General features: G+C 48.6%; 2 protein-coding genes across 26 annotated transcripts in view, besides 4 other annotated features; both read left to right on the top strand.

Annotated features, from left to right (window-relative positions):
• C2CD2 (C2 calcium dependent domain containing 2) overlaps positions 1-6571 on the top strand; it is a 68907-nt gene extending 62336 nt beyond the window's left edge. For all 5 annotated transcript variants that reach the window (NM_015500.2, XM_011529522.3, XM_011529523.3 and 2 more), the window contains one exon: positions 2339-6571. In NM_015500.2, coding sequence (NP_056315.1) covers positions 2339-2559 — 221 coding nt within the window. In that variant the 3' untranslated portion in view covers positions 2560-6571. The remainder of the gene's footprint in view (positions 1-2338) is intronic.
• Positions 6039-6088: an enhancer, noted in NCBI's record as "active region_18493". NCBI's record gives its function as "activates an Ori minimal core promoter by ATAC-STARR-seq in GM12878 lymphoblastoid cells {active_cell/tissue: GM12878}" and the evidence as "EXISTENCE:reporter gene assay evidence [ECO:0000049][PMID:35858748]".
• Positions 12216-12265: a silencer, noted in NCBI's record as "silent region_13333". NCBI's record gives its function as "represses an Ori minimal core promoter by ATAC-STARR-seq in GM12878 lymphoblastoid cells {active_cell/tissue: GM12878}" and the evidence as "EXISTENCE:reporter gene assay evidence [ECO:0000049][PMID:35858748]".
• Positions 12339-19488, top strand: part of PRDM15 (PR/SET domain 15) — an 81120-nt gene continuing 73970 nt past the window's right edge. For 9 of the 21 annotated variants that reach the window (NR_104258.2, NR_104257.2, XR_007067792.1 and 6 more), the window contains exon 1: positions 12339-12413. Coding sequence is in view for 2 of the 21 variants with exons in the window: in XM_011529683.2 (XP_011527985.2) it covers positions 12927-12988 (62 nt within the window). In the remaining 19 variants the exon portion in view is untranslated. Of the gene's footprint in view, positions 12414-12542; positions 12688-12822; positions 12989-13110; positions 13133-13159; positions 14150-14500; positions 16985-19488 lie in introns of those variants that run through there. The other 12 variants (NR_135464.2, XM_047440940.1, XM_047440938.1 and 9 more) reach the window with 5 other exon arrangements.
• Positions 12416-12465: an enhancer, noted in NCBI's record as "active region_18492". NCBI's record gives its function as "activates an Ori minimal core promoter by ATAC-STARR-seq in GM12878 lymphoblastoid cells {active_cell/tissue: GM12878}" and the evidence as "EXISTENCE:reporter gene assay evidence [ECO:0000049][PMID:35858748]".
• Positions 13466-13515: an enhancer, noted in NCBI's record as "active region_18491". NCBI's record gives its function as "activates an Ori minimal core promoter by ATAC-STARR-seq in GM12878 lymphoblastoid cells {active_cell/tissue: GM12878}" and the evidence as "EXISTENCE:reporter gene assay evidence [ECO:0000049][PMID:35858748]".

Below are 19488 nucleotides of genomic sequence, written 5' to 3'. Positions count from 1 at the left end.
GTCCATAGGCCCTTCAGGGCCTCCAAGATCAGCCTAAAGCAGAGCTTCAAGGCAGGTGCAGGTGCCTATAGATCAGAAACACCACTGAGGTCCCCCTCATCCCCCAGCCTCAGGTCACCTGGTCAGCTCAGAGCCCCCTGACAGCTGGGGGTTCCTCTGCCTGGGAGCCCCTATCACCATGCCCAGGGCATTTCCCCAGCAGGTGCCCTCTGATACACCAGGCAGTTAGCCACATCAGCACCACTGTATCTGCCCCACTGGCCAAACTCCAAAGTCATGTCCAGTTGGGGGTCATTATCCACCTGTCAGAACACACCCTGCTGATGGCTGGTTTTTCACGATGTGCTGCATTTTTCAGGGACGTGACTCACTCCAGGAACTGACACTGATGTCCCACAGGTGTGCCATTAGGCCTGTGGACAACAGGGACATCATTTACACGTTGATACTACTTACCCGCCTTTTTCATTCCTTTTCCAGCAGTCTCCGAAGCTCCTGCACACAGGCTCCTAACTTTAGATCACTGTAAAAAATGTCACTACTTACCCACCTTTTTCATTCCTTTTCCAGCAGTCCCCGAAGCCCCTGCACACAGGCTCCTAACTTTAGATCACTGTAAAAAATGTCCAAATGACACGTCATAAAAAGTGATTTGGTTGTGTTGAGAGAGTCAAGTTTTTAAAAAATTATGGCCGCTTTGATCAAATTAAATTCAGTCCATTGCGGCCTTTCATCTTCTCAGTTTCTGTCCTGTAACCTGGGCAGAGCAGATGGGACACAGTAGTTCCTGCTTGAAGTCAGGCTCAGGGGCACATGCTTCTTTCCCCATAGTAGGCTTTGATTATACAAAGATTCATAGGCAGGTCTAGGTCAGGTTTCTCCGACTGCCCTCAGATGCCACAATTGTTGGTGTGCATTTCATTTAGAAGAGGGAATTGATATTCTTCGTGCCCTCCTTCAACCTCCTCAACATGGGTGGCGATTTGCATATGTCGTGGCTATTGAAATGTTTATTGGATATGCCTATCACAAAGGGAATAAATTATCACATTAGGTATAAAGCTCCTCTTCATGATGATCAGACCTGTCTTCTTTCAAAGTCATTACCACCTACATGCCAGCGGTAATGAATTTCACAGGCTGGCCTGAAATGCTTACTCCCTCGACCTTGCCAGCCTTGGTTAATAGGATGTTAAACTAATCTGTGAAAAAGCAAATTAGTGGGCTCTTGCACCCACTACATTAGCTTGTACTTGATCTTTAAGGAATCATTGCTGTTGAAATTATTGTTGCTGCTGCTGCTAATTTTTTTCTATTCCGTATTCTACTACCTGATGGATATCTATAGCCAGGTAAATATCTGTATATAGAGATCTGTATCTATCTGTAAGCAGATACATCGAACCACACAAAATTGACGTTTTGTAGGCCAAATATGCCCAAGTAACAAACTTCAGATGGCATAGCCTAATATGATAGGATCTGGAATTATTTTTTAATAAAATCTTATTCCCAAAAGAGCAAATATTATTTAACATTCCTAAGAAAGTGAATACCATTGTTCTCAGGGTCTTAATTGGGTTTTATGAGTGTGACCATCCTTTCTGGGACATAGTACTGCTTTGCCAGCTACACCCTTCCTAATGAGGGGAAGTGGGTGGCACAGAGGGGACCCAGGTATCCCAACCGAGGCAATAGCTGTCTGCCTCCATTTGGTCTGATAGAAAATCAGGGATATAAGCCAGGTGTGGTGGCTCATGCCTGTAATCCCAGCTCCCAGCACTTTGGGAGGCTGAGGGAGGGGTGGATCACCTGAGGTCAGGAGTTCGAGACCAGCCTGACCAACATGGTGAAACCCTGTCTCTACTAGAAATACAAAAAAATTAGCTAGGCATGGTGGCACACACCTGTAATCCCAGCTATTTGGGAGGCTGAGGCAGGAGAATCGCTTGAACCTGGAGGTGGAGGTTGCAGTGAGCCAAGATCGCGCCACTGCAGTCCAGCCTGGGCGACAGACAGCAAGACTCTGTCTCAAAAAAAAAAAAGAAAAAAAATTCAGGAATATAAATATCGGCCTTAGAAAGGGATATCAAGCGATAGTTCAGGCTTACTGCTTCTACTGTTATAATCTCGTTTCCTTTTCATCTTGAAAACTCTCGTTTTGTACAAGCCAGATTCCAGTTATTTTTCTCATGCAGGTAGTGACAGCATATTGAAGTAGTAAACTGGCCCTTCGTTAGAGGCATTCGAGCCTCCTTTTCCCTTTGTCCGATTGGACCAGTCATTCAGCCCCTCATTCCCTGCCCACTTGACCAGCCCTTGTGCCTCCCTCTTCCAGGAGGAATTCTAAGGAAAGGTGCAAAGCTGTTCTTCCGCCGGCGGCATCAACAGAAAGACCCAGGCATGAGTCAGTCACACAATGACCTTGTGTTCCTGGAGCAGCCAGAGGGTTCCCGGAGGAAAGGCATCACCCTCACCAGGATCCTGAACAAGAAGCTGCTCTCCAGGCACAGAAACAAGAACACCATGAACGGTGCCCCCGTGGAGCCCTGCACGTAGGGCCTGAGGTCATCACCTCCAAGCCAGAAGACGTGCACCCATGTTAACTACCCTCACCAGGACGCAGCCAGTGTGTCCGCCGGATGTCCAGATGCCCCGCTTGTCTTGCTGGGTTTCTTCCAACCATCTCGTCATTTAAAGGGAAAACAAAATCTGAGTCTCCAGCCAGGAGGCTTCTCCCAGAGAGGACAAAAAAGCCCAACTTGCCACCAGATGCTAAATGAGACTTGACAGCTGCAGAGCTTGGGCTGTGCTCATAGCTAAGGGTTAGGGTTCAATATTAGAAGGAGATTAACATTATAAGTGAAATAATATGCTCTAATAGATTGTGGAGGGCAGGTTTGAGGGACTTAGTTTACCTATTCTACACTAACAAGTGTTGTTTTGGGTCCATGCCTGGACCATGTCACAAAAAGGAGGTGCCCCCCTGTGCTGTCACTGTGAATGGAAAGGATGGGTCACCTCTCTTCATCTGCTGCTTGGAATAAAAAATGCAGCTGGCCCTGAGTACAGGGAAGTGGAACATAGGCAGGATTTTGGATTAATAGAGAAATTTTGATAAGAATGGAGACGCTACGACAGATGTAGGAAGTCATCTACCTTTGATATTAGCCATAGAACTTGAACACTAACTATATCCTATGCATAGTATGCAGAACACTTTTCTAAGTTTACTTTGAGCCTACTTGCAAGTGGAAGATATATATATTCTCACATGGTTTTTACATTTTTCTCTATCGTGTTAAAAGCTCTAATAATGCTAGTGGAGCAGTTGACATCCAGGGTTTTTTTTCCTGCCTGTCATACTTGCTAAACAAGAGCACAGCGGGCCTGTCAGATGAAGTCAGGAGCCATACGTGACCGCTCGTAGAACACAGTAACCAAACACATACATGGATTTTGCCAAGTGCTGCCAGTAGCCAAAACAAAGTCTTTTTAGGGCAATAGAGGAAATTATTTTGTGTCTCAGGTGTCAGTCTTAGGAATGGAAGTTTAATAACAAATGGGCCAAACTCGCAGGACATTCCTTCTATGAGCGCTTCAGAATTTTGCTGTGAACAGTCCTCTTGGACACAGGTTGGGGTGCCCTTGTTTGGGTTTGTTTTGGTGGAAAACATCACAAACCTGGCACACCATTTGAATATCCCTAATATCATTCCAGTCGCTTTCCTCATCAGTTGCCTTTCTATTTCAGTTCATTCACAGATCTCACTTCTGAATGTGCCACTTCCAGTAGACATGCTGGTCAAAGAGCAGTCATCATTGGGGTGAAGTGTTCTTGACAGTTTAATATGATTCACTTTTCTCCAAAGACATGTAAAAGGCTGTTACGAAAGCTTGGCTTCTGTCATGGAGACGGAAATGGGCAAGCTTCCTTCCGTAGCCTCTTGTTAATCCTTAAACATTAAATATTTCGGGGGTAATAGAGCCACTGGTGAGTAAAAACCTATATAAAAACCAAAATTATAGGATTTTTTCTTTTTTAGTAAAAACCGGTATCAAAACCAAAATTATAGGATTTTTTTCTTTTTTAGTAAAAACCTATATAAAAACCAAAATTATAGGATTTTTTCTTTTTTAGTAAAAACCTATATGAAAACCAAAATTATAGGATTTTTTTCTTTTTTAGTAAAAACCTGTATAAAAACCAAAATTATAGGATTTTTTTTTCTTCTTTTTTAGAGAGAGAGATTAGAAAACGACATTAGGAATTTCACTTTAAAATGCGCATTACAAACTTCTTAGGTGTTCCAGGAATTATCAAGTGACTTTAAAATGACTTTTCCAACCTGCTTTGTTTTTAAAAATTATATTCCAGTTTTAATCATTGTAAAAAAAGCACCTGGAGTTTCAAAACATGTGAATACTACCAAGTTTCTGTCCCCAAAGTCAGGCATCACTGTTAGTCTTTTGGGACAGATGGGACAGATGTTCACTTTAATGTTTTACTTGAAGTTTTACTGCTCTTTGCCATGTGGTAAAAAGAGGCTGAGACATATTTAAGAATTCCAAGAGGATATTATGTGTCAGAATTTCAGACACTGATGAGAAGTTTTTAATTGTTCTTTTTTATTTGATTTTGGAATTCAGGTGCACTCTATTCAAGTGCAAGGATATCAGAAGTTTTTTTTTATTTAAAAAATTTTTTTTTCGAGATGGAGTTTCACTCTGTTGCCCAGGCTGGAGTGCAATGGCAGCTTACTGCAACCTCCACCTCCTGGTTCAAGCGATTCTCCTGCCTCAGCCTCCCAAGTAGCTGGGATTACAGGCACGCGCCACCACACCTGGCTAATTCTATTTAGTAGAAATGGAGTCTCACCATGTTGGTCAGGCTGGTCTCGAACTCCTGACCTCAGGTGATCCACCCACCTTGGCCTCCCAGCGTGCTGGGATTATAGGCATGAGCCACCAGGCCGGCCCCAGGATTTTATATTAAGCCTTCTTGCTCTCAAAAAAAAAAAAAGGTTTTAACTATTCCATTTCCAGATGAATCCCATGAGCGCTGCTTACTGTTGAATACCAAGGTCTAGGGCTCTGCTTCCTGTAGACACGCACACGTTGTCTCCATCCAATGGCCTTTTCTGAAGTTACAGAAAACACCAACATGGGAGGGAGTTTATGAAGCAAAGGCAAAGGCAACACGTCGGCTAGCTTCAGGGTAGCACCGTGAGAAATGGGCTGTATTGATACTGTGAATGTTTGTTTTCCAAGCTGTTTTATACAGGTTTGTTTTTTCATGGTGTAGGGTATTTATGACAAAGTAAATGTTGTGAAGGTTAAAGATAAATTAAGATTATCCACCAAATGCTAAAAATACTGATGTGTAAATCACCTTTATCGCCTCACCTCTTCTACAAGCTTTTGTGGCTTGAGGGCTTTTGTTTTTGGCTTTTGTCTGGATGAAAGTTTTGCCCAGTTGTGTTTTAAAAACAATTCCTCATGAACACTAAGATTAATTGTGTCTGTATCTCTGGAACTGGGTGCTCATGTTGGTTTTAATGAGCTTGCAACCCTTCCCCGTTTGCTTTGTTTAAGGAGGTGCCTCTGTTCTTTGTGGAGGAGTGAAATGGAGCTTTAAGTGTGTGTGTGTGTTATGTGTGTTTGCACACACGCGTGTGTTATTGTAGCAATAACAAAAAGTAGCCATCTCCTTGTTCCAGCTGAAAACCTGCTGTGAGAGTTTTGACAGAGCACTTTATTTTCGTCAAGTTTCAAGTCTGAGTTCAAAACCAGCCCTGATCCCTTATGACCAACTGCTACTCGACCAGTCGCCACTCAGTGGCCACCTGGTGCCCGTTTAGATTTTTGCTTGGGTTTTACTGGCCACCTCTATAGACGAGAGTTGCAAAGTTGCTTTGAGCAGAGAGGGAAAGATTAATTTACACTGCTGGCCACCGAAGGCAGGTGTTTCCTGGGTAGTAATCTCACGGCTCTTGATCTGGAAACTTCAGAGTACAAATTGGTGGATGGTGGAAGGCAGGACACGTATCTCTGTCTGACGGAAAACAGACCTCGGGGCTGGCGTAAACCCTGCTGCCAGGCCCTCTCCCCACTGCCCCAAACCGGCCTAGACACGAAGACCAAAGCAGCCTGCACAGGGCAAGGCCCCCGCGGAATCCTGCAGAGCAAACTCAGGTTAACTTGGGTCCATGACCGTTTGCATTCGAAACACAATACACTGCCTCGTTCTCTCAGTTAGCAGCTGGGCAGCAGCGCACCATTCATCATTTAGGCTTGTGGTTTGTTGTTTACTCTACCAATGTTATGTCGAAACTGCATTGTAAAAAGAGAAGAAAGTGGCAGGTTTTCCAGGTCCACGGAAAGGTTTGGCCTGACGCTGGAGTGCGGTGATGAACTTACGTGACAATGATTGTATTCCTCAGTAGCACTTTAAACGCCGAAGACAGCCCTGCAGCAAGCCTGCACACGGGCTTGGGTGGGTTCCTTTGGAGAAGATGTGGCTGGAACACAAACAATCTTTGAAAGAAATAAATGTGCACACAGAACACTACACTGAGTTGTTTTTCCCGAGTCCTGTTCTGTCCTGGAAGTCCCAGGGTCTTCTCTGAGCGCCCCTTTCATCAGGTCATCCTTGGACTTCACTGTCCATTCCCCACCCCGGTGGGTGGCCCGGGTGCATGCAGAGGGGACAGGTACCTGGCTCAGCCACAGGTGGAACAGCGTCGGCACTTGCCTGGGGCTCACGGTGGTTCTGGGAGGGAGGCGGTCGAGTCGGGTCACAGACGTGTCCTGCGGGCCCCATGCAGGCATCGTGCCTTCTTTCTAGTCATCAGTTCCCGTGGTCTCCCTCAGTCTTCATTCCCCCTGCGGTGCCCAGACAGCAGAGCACGTGGAGAGCTGGTGTCCTGGAGAAAGCTACTGGACAGGCCCAGCCTCCTGTCCCCACACTGCCCACCCCTCCTCTCAGCTGTCCCGCCCGCTCGCTAGACACCGTGTAGACCCTTAGAGGGAGCCCGATGCTTCCCAGCTGGGTTCCAGGTTTTCTGCTCCATTTCCTGGGCACCACAAGGTGGTGATGGCAGTGCCTCTTGTTTGGAGTTAGAAGTGGTTCAGGACCCAGTGATTGAACTGTTGCTTCCTCTGTGTGGCCAGAGGGACCCACTTTGTGCTGATGCTCCAGGAGGAGGCTGGATTGAGTTGCTGGAGGCCAAGCTTGTCCTAATTTACCAACTTTCCTAAGCTGATCACCTCCAGATGAGCACTGTTTGCCAATGCGTCTCCACTGCCCAAATTAATCCAACTCAACCACCCTCGGTCATTCTGGAGTGTGCATCCTCGTGCCCAGCAGTTCACACTCACTCTTCGAATGGTCTAACCCAACTCAAGCCCTGCCTTCCCCACGAAGGAGCTTCTCTGCAGGCTGCGGAATTGGCGTGCTTGCAGCGGCACGGTCCAGGCCTCCGGCTCTCAGGCTTCACTGTCCTGCATTGCTCTCATTTCCTGTATCCCCCGGGGCTTCGTACAGTCACTGCCCACCTAGCAGAGCAAGGACAAAGGTCAGCTGATGACCCTTACGTGAGCACAGACAGCAGCTTTGCTTCCACCCACCTCACCCTCCATCGCCCAGGACCTGGTGCTGGGGACTGAGCAGGACACTGGAGGGGATGACCACATGCTGTTTTGACCTTAGCACCCCTACAAAGACAGGGTGATGTGTGTATATGTCAATAAAGTTTATTTTTAAAATGCAGATCACTCACCAAAGGGGGCTAGACACCAGGATGGCTGACATAGCACAGTGATCCCCCTAGAGAGAAAGCTGCCAAGGCCAGGCCCTCCTTCCCAATCATGACCTAGAAACAGCTTTCCTCCACTGGCCTTCCCCAGCTCCACACTGTGACTGTCCACAGTGGAAACTGCGAGTCACGCCCTGCTGTAACAGGCATTCAAAACTAGTTGCCTATGTATTTATAGGTCTATATTAATGTCATCGATATTTATAAAGTTGGACGTGCAGGTACGTTGGGCACCTTAATAGAAGGGTTATCAGCTGGTGATCATCATTGCTGTACCAGGTGAAGCACTGGACTAAGCCCAGGGGATGTATTAATTTATAGTCTAGCTCGGTAGCAAGCATAGCTTTTATATAATAGGCCGGGCGCGGTGGCTCACGCCTGTAATTCCAGCACTTTGGGAGGCCAAGGCGGGCGGAACACCTGAGGTCAGGAGTTCAAGACCAGTCTGGCCAACACGGTGAAACCCTGTCTCTACCAAAAATACAAAAATTAGCTGGGCCTGGTGGCGCATGCCTGTAATCCCAGCTACTTGGGAGGCTGAGGCAGGAGAATCGCTTGAACCTGGGAGGCGGAGGTTGCAGTGAGCTGAGATCACACACTCCAGCCTGGACAACAGAGTGAGACTCCATCTCAATAAAATAAATAAAGTTAGAGAAAGACTTGAGATCACAACAATAGCTAATAATAATTGCACACTCAATATGTGCCAAGAATTTTTCAAATAGTTTTATATGTAGTGACTCATATACTCTCTGAAACAACTCCATGGGGCATGATCTATTTCAGCTTTACAGGTTAAGAAACTGAGGCACAGAGAGGTTAAGTAACTTGCCCAAGCTGACAGCTGGCTAGACCAGAATTTGAGCACTGGCTGTTTGCCTGGAGAACCTCTGCTCACAGCCGTGAGTCTCTGGCTCTGCCTGTGTCGATTGGAGAGATTAAGGACTATGGTCCTATATGTTTTTTTGTTTTGTTTTGTTTTGAGAAGGAGTCTCGCTCTCGTCATCCAGGCTGGAGTGTAATGGCGTGATCTCGACTCACTGCAACCTCCGCCTCCCAGGTTCAAGTGATTCTCCTGCCTCAGCCTCCCGAGTAGCTGGGATTACAGGCACCCGCCACCATGCCCGGCTAATTTTTGTATTTTTAGTAGAGATGGGGTTTCACCACATTGGCCAGGCTGGTCTCAAACTCCTGACCTCAAATGATCCACCAGCCTTGGCCTCTCAAAGTGCTGGAATTACAGGCGTGAGCCACCGCACCTGGCCAAAAATTTTTAACAATTTTATATGTAAAAAAACTGGTGTAGCGGTGTCAGGCATATGATACATTTCATTTGTTGAGTTAAACAAATGTTTAAAAACCACCAAAGACTAGCATGAGGAAAAGGCTGGTCTCCTTCCCTGGAACCAGGATAAATCACTGAGGAAGTCAGAGGCAGGGCCAAGACTAAAATTCAAGTCACACAACAGCACTCCATGGAAAATCTACATACTCCTATGATAAAGTTCTACTAGACAGTCCAGATACATCATCCCCTAATTTGTGGGTATGTAAGCAAATGTGAAGCATGTCTCTAACCTGGTCATTCACTGTGCTATAAGGCCCACTGCCAGTGAATAAGTTCAGCAGTTACTCTTCAAGGATATATGGTCTTTTTTGAACTTTAATGCTGCCTGTTTTGGGTGAGAATAACATGAAGTGAGAGTCAATGTTTCATATTTAGTAGGAATTAACTTATTCGCTGATGATCAGACTTCCCTCTTTATGAGAAAAATTAGCCAATTTTTTTTTTCTTAAAAGCTGGAGGTGGCTGGAGAGGTGGTTGAGGATGTCTATCATGCTTTGCACAGCAGTAGGTTTGTATTTGAATTATAACAAAACCAGAGCCCAGGAGACGTGCTAATTGGAAAAGTACTGATCTAAGGCGGGCGGGCGGGCGGTCCACAGGGCTGCGGGCATAGCCCTCAGTGATTAATTACATCTTAATCCCATCTAGTATCTTTCAGGAAGAATTAAGTGTTCACAAGGAAATTCACTGATAGCCATGGAAGCTCTTGTCTGTTGTTTTTTAAATTTTCAACTCATTTATTTTTAATTTCAAACCTACGGAACAACCCATATAGCCTTCACCTAGATTCACCAGTTTTGCCACATCTGCTCTCTCTCGGTCTCTGTCACGTTTGCAGATATCACAATATTTCACCCTAAATCCTTCAGAACAATTTGGTGAGAACAATGAATGGCACGGGCTACCATACTTTCAATACAATGATCACCCTTGGGAAATTTAACATTGATCCAATACTATTATCCGGTATCACTGTTCACGTTCAGATTTTCCATTTTCCTCAATAACAACCTTTATAGTTGTTTTTTCTTTCTTTCTGCCCATTTTTCAAAGTTGTATATTGCATTAATTGTTAATAATGAAAATTTGACACTTTAAGATAAAACTTTTTTTTTTCTTTTAACATTTTGGAGATGAATCTGCCTTAAGAGGTATTATTTCTAGATTGTTCTGAAGGATTATAGTGGACACATTGACAATCCTCTTGAAGACGAGATATGACGATTATTGTGTAAGTGAATTCCAGCCGTGGGCTGTATGTAGTAATAGGAGAAATGGCCTGGGGGAGGTTGAAGTCTTTGGTTTACTTTCAGTTATTCGCACTTGCTGTGGACCTGTCACTTTTTTAGTGTAAACAACCTTTTATTCACATATGCCGAGGACTGTTTCATGTCCTGAGGCCCACAGAACCAGTCATCTGGCCATTTTGGAACTGTGAGTGATGTCACTGGAGGTGCGTGTATAGAGGGAATGTCCATTAGCTGTAGTGGTGGTGGTGGGAGTGGGGTTGGGCGGAGACCTGAATACAGAGAAGGTTGTGGAAAACCTGGGAAGTGTTTGAAGATAGAGTACAGAAGGCCTTGGGAACAGGCTTCAGGGACAGGAGGCTGGAGGGAGGCATGAAGTCGCAGGTGGGGACAAGCAGGGAGACAGTGGACGCCGGGGATGCTCCAGAAAGGTCTGGGGGGCCATGGGATGGCCTACTATAGTGCAACATGGAAGCCACTGTAGAATGCTGGGCCAGGCAGAGAAACCAGCCTTCACAGATCAACACTTGCCTAATCTGTCTCCGGCTGCCCGGCGTTGCAGCCTATGGATGTGCCCAGGTGCATCCAACACTTCCCATGGGATGGCACGTAGTATGTAAGCAAATGTGATGATCACATATGCCATTCATACAAGCGAGTCCGTCTCTGGCACCATTCCTGCATGTGGGTCAAAGGCTATGTGCATTTAGAATTTTTATGGATATCCACAAATATCTGAATGGAAACTACGCTAATTTATTCTCCTACCCGTAAAGGAGCTTGTTTCTCTAGTTTCTTCAAAATTATGCTATTAAAACTTTTTTTTGTTTGTTTTTGTTTGAGACAGGGTCTCACTCTGTTGCCCAGGCTGGAGTGCAGTGACACGATCACAGCTCACTGCAGCCTCAAACTGTGGGACTCAAGTGACCCTCCTGCCTCAGCCTCCTGAGTAGCTGAGACTACGGGCACGTGCCACCGAGCCCAGCTAAGTTTTTTAGAGACAAGGTCTGGCTATGTTGCCCAGGTTGTATTAAACGTTTTAAAAAATCTTTGCTAATCTAATAAAAATGATCCCACTGCGACTTTTTTTCTCTTATTGCAGCGTAGTTGAATAGCTTCTCATATGCTTAAGAACCATTGAATTTCCTACGAACTGTCCATCCACACACTTTGCTCATTTTTCTATATACATATATATTTTTATTGGTTCACAAGAGTTTCACGTACATGAGGGAAACGAGCCCTTTTGTGGCATCAATTTAAAATCATTTTCCCCGGTTCATCACTTCTCTTTATGAATGTAGGTTTTTGCCAGGCAGCAATGAACAAGACAGTCGGCCTCTCTGAATATGGGCGGCCAGGACTAAGGTGAAAAGTCTGTCCCTTCTCCGTCTCACGTTTTGTGATGGCACACACACTTGGTGGAGGGGGTCAAGAGAGGCCACACAGGCCCCCGGGGAAGAATGGAGAGCCAGGTCCGCGGCTGGCCCGGTGCTCACCGGTAGCGTGGCGGAGCCCGCCAGGCCAGACTCCCCTCGCGGGCACAGAGCTCGTGTCCCAGGGCCCCGCCGGCCAAATCCAGAGGTCACCGTGAGTGGGGGCAAGTCCCAGGCCTGTTCTAGAGAAAAACTCGACCCACCCACCGCCACCACTCCCCAACTCCGCAAGAAACGCGTCCGAGGAGAGGTGGAGAGGGAGCTGCCCGCGCGCGTGGGCGGCAGGGCCGTGCCACGTGGGAGGGGGGCCGCGCGCGGAATTCCCTCCGGCCAGACCCGCCCCGCGCGCGCCCGCTGCCCCGTCCACGCCGCCCGCGCCCCGCAGTCCCACCCGCAGGACCCCCGGCCGCGCCAGGGTCTCGCCTGCGCCCCCCGCGCCCGCCCGCGGACTACAAGTCCCGCCATGCCCCGCCGCCGCCCCCCGGCTTCCGGTGCTGCGCAGTTTCCGGAGCGGATCGCAACCCGGAGTCCGGATCCGATCCCGCTCTGCACATTCCAAAGGCAGGTAAAGCTCCGGGCCCTGCGCCCGCCGCCCGCCCCGGCGTGCGCCCCGCCGGCCCCGGGCCGCACCCGCTGCCCCCGCGAGCCCCGGCGCGCCCTGGGCCCGCTGCCCCCCGCCCCCCGCGCCCGGCAGCCGCGCGCCGCCCCGGTCCAGCCGCCATGCCGACTGTTCTTTGTTACATTCGCCGGCTGCGGGCACCGTTGGCGATCGGAGTCAAAACCCGGCTGGATTTCCCGGAGCCGCTCCGGGATCGCCCTGCGCGCCGCCCGCCCGCCGGGTCCCGCCGCCGCGGGCGCTCCTGGCCGGGCTCCGCGCCCCCGTCCCCTGCCTCGCGCCCCCCGCCCGCCCGCGGCCAGGCCCAGCGCGGGGCCGCGGGGCTGCCGGGCCGCGCTCGCCCGTGGGCGCGGCGCAGGGTCTTCGCCGCCCCGGCCCGCGGCCCCGCGGCCCCCGCCGCCGGGCGGCGTCGTCGCCGAGGCCCCAGGGGATGTCGTTATCCCCCGCCCTCGGGTACAGCCCATGCGGGTCGCACGGGGGGGTCCCTGGACCCCCAACCCCGCGTTTAGAGAAGCTGAGTCCTGGTGATGGGGTCTCCCAGACCCCCTGCGCCTTATTTTCGTAAGCCTTTTGGTGGCAGAGAGAAGGTAGCGAGGTGGATGGACAGGTGACGCGTGCCTACCCGGGGTGGGTGGCCGTTCGGGGACGGGGCGTGCCCGGCCGCTCAGGTGAGGCCCGCCTCGCGTGGACAGGTGGGGACGGGGGCCACGCGCAGCGTCCTGCTAGAGGGGAGGTGTTCACGCAGGGGTTAGCCTTGAGAAAATAGAAATGAAAACTCATGGAAATAAACACTCCTATCTGGTGGTTAGAGTTATCACCCATTTACCTTTCTTAACCCCCTAATGTAGTGGATGGTTTTTTCCCCCACAAATGCTCAGAAATTGCCCCTCACCCCCAAGTCCCCAAAGGGAGTTTAAAACGGTAGAAACAAGTGTGTGATCAGAGACACGTGGACCTGTGTGTGTATTTAAAGCTACCAACACTCGTTTTAAAAAAACCACATTGGCTTAAGCCAGACTCAAGTGAATTTGGAGAACCTAGCTTGGTTCCTGAAGGGTGGTGACATGTGAAGGAGCCACTGGCTTTGTGATGTACCTTAAAAGGTAGCAGTGACAGTTCTCCTTGGAGAATGCAATGATGTCAACACTCGATAAGGGTGGTGATCCCACCCCGGTGCACACACCACTACCGTATTTTGTTTCAAGCTCGGACATTTTCACGTGTTCCACGTTTTCACTGCTTCACTCCTTCCCCAGATTTCCTGACATCGCTGCCTCACGGTGAACGATTAAGAAATAGTAGCTCTATAATTTAGACTTTCAAGAGCAAAAACACCATTTTTTTTATAGTTTGTTTTTCTTCTATCTGTGATTCATACTTTTTGCCGCAAAGTAGCCAGCAAAGAACAAGCTAAATGTTCCATTTTGGAAGCAGGCGGGACGGTTATTTCTCCAGAAGACAAATAAATAAATTTAAAAATCAACTGTAGTTGGAAGGCTGCTAGCTTGTCTTAGAATAATTATATTTGACAAAGAACTCTTTTCACTTAGGATGTGGCTCTCATATCATTTTCGATGTCATTATCTGTACAGAAGGCCAGGAAAGAACAGTCCTGCCATTTTGCAGATTGAAGGGAGATTTAAGGCAACTGTGTCTTCCACCCGTGCGCTCAAGAGGTTGGGATGGTGAGCGGTGACTTAAATGATTTTTCAGACTCCGTTCCTCATTTGCAAAGTGTGGATGGCCCTGCTCAGCTCCCCTCACAGTGCTGGTGTGGGCAGATATTCATTCATTCGGCCATTCATGCATTCTTTCCACCAATGTTTACTGAACACCTGTTATGTGCCCCCACGCTGTAGTGAATGGAGAGAGGGCTGCACCTGGTGGACCTAATGTTCTGGGCAGGGGAGTGGAGGTGGTGTAGACAGAAAATCATAAAACTCTCAGGTAAGACGATGGGAAGAGCATGAAGAAAGGAAGGAGGGCAGGCAGGTGGCGGGCAGGGGATGGGGCACTTGGGGGCTGGGACTAGAAGGGGCTGTCTGAGGAGGGGCCACAGTGGAGACCAGTGCTGTGAGGGAGCCTCTGGTGGAGGTGGGTGCGGTGGTGCCTGCCCCCACCAGGCAGATGGTGGCAAATGCAAAGGCCCTGGGGTGGGATGAGCCCAGGATGGGACAGGCCAGTGTGGCCATGGAGGTGGGGCAGCAGGGGCCATGCACCAGGCAGAGATTTTCTTCTGACTGCCTTGTGGATGCCACTGAGGGGCTTTGAGCAGTGGCGGGGCAGAGTCTGCATCTTTTGGCTGTGTGTGGGGAATGGAGCTGGCATCACTGGAATCCAGGCCCTGCATGATTCCACTCCACAGAACTCGGAGGCAGAAGGGGAGATGGGGCAGGACAGAGCCTAGTTCCAGAGCCAGGCAGGCCTGCTGCTGGTTTGGTTGGAAATGCATGGTGGGTGACTGGAGCTACTATTTACTGAGGTGCAGGTGACCTGAGGCATTCAGGGGCCCTGTAGAGCAGACATCTTCAAACTCTCCCTCAGAGTGGGAGAAGACCCTGCCCCGGGGCCACGTCCGCTCCTCAAAAGGCTCCTCCTAAGGAAAGGTCCCTCCTCTTGCAGTCATGGCCCTGGGGTGTGGAAACTGCGGGGTCCCAGCAGATGTAAGGGTGTTGGGGAGTGGCTCCCCCGTGGGCCACAGGTCTGCAGCAGCTGCGGGAGCCTCTACACCAGCGGTGTTCATGGTGATCGTTGATGACAAGTTGATCTTTGATGAATTCAGGCTCAGAACTCAAGAGGATGTGGCATTGGGGGACTCTGCTGTGACCAAGCCCCTTCTGCTCCCGTCTCCTTATTTCTGGAACCAGCTTCTCTGTGCTCGCATTTCTAGAAAGAGGAATAGGGACAGAGGCGAGCATTTGTCCATGCTATGTGAACTGATTAGGGGAAAAAAGCTCTTTCTCTTCTATTAAACACAGCTTTTATATCAGATGATGATTTATCGAAGTGGAGACTATTTCTGTTTTGATCAGTGGTGTTCCAATTGTAGTCACACTGTGAAAAGGAGATATGGTTCAATGGTGGACCGCATATACCATGCTGGTCCTGTAAGATGATAGGACCGCATTTTTTACGTTACCTTTTCTATGTTTAGATAAGCAAATACTTACTATTGTGTTACAGGTACCTACAGTATTCCGTTAGTTAAGTGCTGTACAGGTTTGCAGCCTAGGAGTCGTAGGCTGGGCCGTATAGCCTAGGTGTGTAGTAGGCTATACCATCTAGGGTTGTGTATGTACACTCTATCATGTTTGCACAACTACAAAATCCCATAGCAATGCATTTCTCAGAATCCTGTCAGGAAGCTACACACGAGTGTACTGCGGTGATGATTCGGGAGACGTTAGCACAGCCCTATGGTTGTAGGAAATCAAGACGAATTCAATTTATATGCATGTTTGTGTTGCAAAAAGTTACAGTAGGGTGAATCAATAGAGTGATTTCAAGCATGAATATATAACGTTGGGTTTACATTTTGTAGTAACAGAAATAGGAGTTCCTAGAGGAAGAAGTGTATACTTTCTGGCCTTAAGAAGAGCTTGTTCGTGTGCGTTGTAAATAGATGGCCATGGCTGTCACGTCACCGTGCCTAGATTCTAATAGATATATTTACAAGAGTGACATGGCAGTTTTATTTTAACTCAGTATTTACAGTATGCTGGAAATGATGTCCCTTGCAGCTGTTTAAAACAGGGATGAACAGTTTATACTGTCAGCTGAGATGCAGGGAGTGGCATTTTAGGAAATATTTTCATGGGGATACTGGCAAAACTCAAAGAGCCTGGCTGCTCCTGGTTCCAGGCATCAGGTGGAGCTGCCGTCCGGGGCCTGGCAGGGCGAGGGGCCGCCAGGATGCCGGCTTGGGAGTTGGGGGTGGCAGGTAAGTGCTGCATGTAGAGGGACGGAGGTCTAGGTAGCCAGCTTGGGGTACCCCCTGTGGAGGCTCTGGAGGGGAGGTGCAGACAGCAAAGGGGCTTAGGAGGGAGCACGCAGTGAGAGGGACCCTCCAGGGCAGAAGGGATTTCCAGAGGAGGCAGTAAGGATGGCTTCGGGTGGAGAGGACCTGGGATTGGGCAGGGACCCTGCTGAAGCCACTCGTCCTACATGAATCCTACTCAGAGCAGGAGAAGCCAAGATCAGCGATCCTCCCGTCTTGGCCCCCCAAAGTGCTGGGATGACAGGTGTCAGCCTGTCCTGGAGTCCTCCAAGCCCGTGGGGTCTGATGAGCACAGACGGCTCAGCTCTTCCTTGCTTCCATACCCTTACATAAAACTGGAGCTCGGCTTTCTCAGAGAGGATGCTTTTATTTGCCTGAGATGCACCATCTGTTACTGGCTCCGTTTGACCGATCTCCTTGTTCATCGTGGTCCAGGTCTGCACCTGACAGCTCTGAGTGCTGACCTACTGCAGGCGTCATCAGTAAACCTTGACTAAGTGATGCGGCTCACGGCAAACTCACTGTGAGTTCAGGGTCCTTAATTCTTGATGTGGGTGGGGCCTGCAGGATGCAAATGCGGTTGGACTTTTAACTGTCCACTCACTGGACCAGAGTCTGCTTTTGAGAAGGGGTGTTTCAGGTGTCTCGTAACCCTCTGGCCTCTGGCCTTTTGTAAGTTTCAAAAAAAAAAAAAAATATATATATATATATATATATATGCATGCTGCTTAGTTATAGTAGGTTTGTCTTTTATTGTGACCAAAAACATAAATGTTATTTTAGCACCACGTTAGGCAAGAGGTCAACAGGGTCCTTGTTCTGAGCAGGCCGCCTCAACTCTGACTGTTAGCTGGTCCTGTCATCTGGATGCCTCTTGTCTCCCTGGGTCCCTATCCCCCAGCACATCTGACCTGCAGGCTTTGCTCTCTGCCTATTCTCATTCTGTCTGCTTTTTGAAATACGCTAAACCAGCACTCACAGCCTCTCCACCATCCAAGCCCTCTAGGGTCGCACAAGCCTCATCGTTAAGTAGGAGTCAGTCCTCCCGCCCTTTTTTTTTTAAATTAAGCAAACACAGGACAGCCAGTTAGAGCAGCCATCAGTGTGGTAGAGTCTACACTACCTCAGTTTGCTTTTTTTTTTTTTTTTTTCCCGAGACAGAGTCTTGCTTCGTCACCTAGGCTGGAGGGCAGTGGTGCGATCTCCATCTCGTCTCACTGCAACCTCGGCTCACTGCAGCCTCTACCTCCTGGGTTCAAGCAATCTTCCCACCTCAGCCTCCCGAGTAGCTATGACTACAGGCATGTGCCACCATGCCTGGCTAACTTTTGTGTTTTCTGTAGAGATGGGGTTTCTCCGTGTTACTCAAGGTGGTCTCAAAATTCCTGGGCTTCAGCAATCCTCCCACCTTGGCCCCCCAAAGTGCTGGGATGACAGGTATAAGCCACCGTGCCCAGCAGAGTTTCCATTTTTAAGATGGTAGAGGGCACACCTTTCTCTCCCTCTTAAAGAACCAGATGTGAAAATGAGAAATATAGATGTCATCTTTGATGAAACTAAGAGGTTCAGAAAGTGAGAACGGAGAAGAAATCATAAACAGTACAAGAAAACAGTAGGGCTGAAGGGCATGGTTGAAGGCCCAGTCAGTGCACAGCATCAAAGCAGGTCACAGAATTTCAGGTCACGGGAGCTATAACAAAAATTCTGAAAGATTCTGGAGGTAGAGAGCTGCACAGAGGAGATTTGCTGGCAGGAAAGATACCAGATGCATCAGCCACGACGCTGGAAGCTGACGGACCATGGAGTCCTTCCTTGGACATTGGGCGTTCGGAGTGAAAGTGACCAGTGGCCGTGTACCCAGGCAGCCTAACCGAGGTGTGAGGGTAGAATAAGGACATTCACAGACATGACAAATCCTCCCACAAGATATACCCCCATGCGCCCTCCTACGGAAACTACGGGAAAATGTGCTTTCCAGATCCGGGGAGTAGACTAAGGAAAGGGGAGCAACGAGGCTCAGGAAACAGCTTCACATGCAGGAGAAGGAACCAGGCGCCCCCAGGCTGATGTGGAAGGGGAGGCCCAGGATGCAGCTGCTGTCAGACCTTGAGGGCATGGGACAAGGAGGAGAGGTGCTAGGAAACACAGTGGAACCCCTGGTCCATCTTGTTGGTCTGACCCGGTGAAAAACTGTAAGGAGACGCAATCGCAGGGTGCGGGAAGTTATAGCTATGGGTGTCTTTCCCTCCTACCACCACCAGCAACAGAACCCGTGCACGTGCAGCACACAAAACCTGCACACAGGCAGCAAAAACAAGCCACATGCACGTGAAGCCACCTAGCACAGTTCTATAAACTGGCTATAAACCCCTTTCTTTCTCATCTTATTTCTCACTAAATACAGTGCTTTCTTCCAGCCGAATCCAGTGGTTCTGCGTGCCCAGGAGTGTGCGTTTTGTGCTCTCTTTGGCCCTCACCATCCCCCGACCTCCTGAACCACCACCTCTGGCCCGCACAATGGTAGCAAACAAAATGTGTGCACAGCATGTTGAATGTTTCCGACACAAAGAGATGATACATGTTTGAGATGATGGATACGCTTATTCCCCTGATCTGATCACTATCCATTAGAAGCATCAGTTTGTACCCCATAAATAGGTACAACTGATTATGTGTCAAAAGTGTAAAAAATAAGGCCTAAGCAAATATAAAAAATCAATTAAAGTTATTGATAATGAAGTTGTTTAAGTTCATTATTTCTTTTGAAGAAAAAAATGTTTTAATAATGAACTTGTTAGGGCAGCCAATATTTTCAGAGTCATAATATATACATCGATTTAACTATAATCATACTGGGAAATGAGGGGAGGGGAAGAGAATGTAAGAAAGCTAGCCCTTCATCTGCCATAAGAAGTAAAAATGCAAGATCCAAGTTTGAGAAATGAGGGATCTCAGAGAAGCATGTTATTTTGAGATGTAGAATCAGATACAGCAGAAAGAGGCTTGAATGGCCGCCCTGGGGAATGG

The sequence above is a fragment of the Homo sapiens genome, chromosome 21 (assembly GCF_000001405.40).
Source record: "Homo sapiens chromosome 21, GRCh38.p14 Primary Assembly".
NCBI classification, from domain to species: Eukaryota; Metazoa; Chordata; class Mammalia; order Primates; family Hominidae; genus Homo; species Homo sapiens.
The sequence above is the reverse complement of the archived record's forward strand: the minus strand, read 5'-3'. Positions and strand labels throughout refer to the sequence as shown.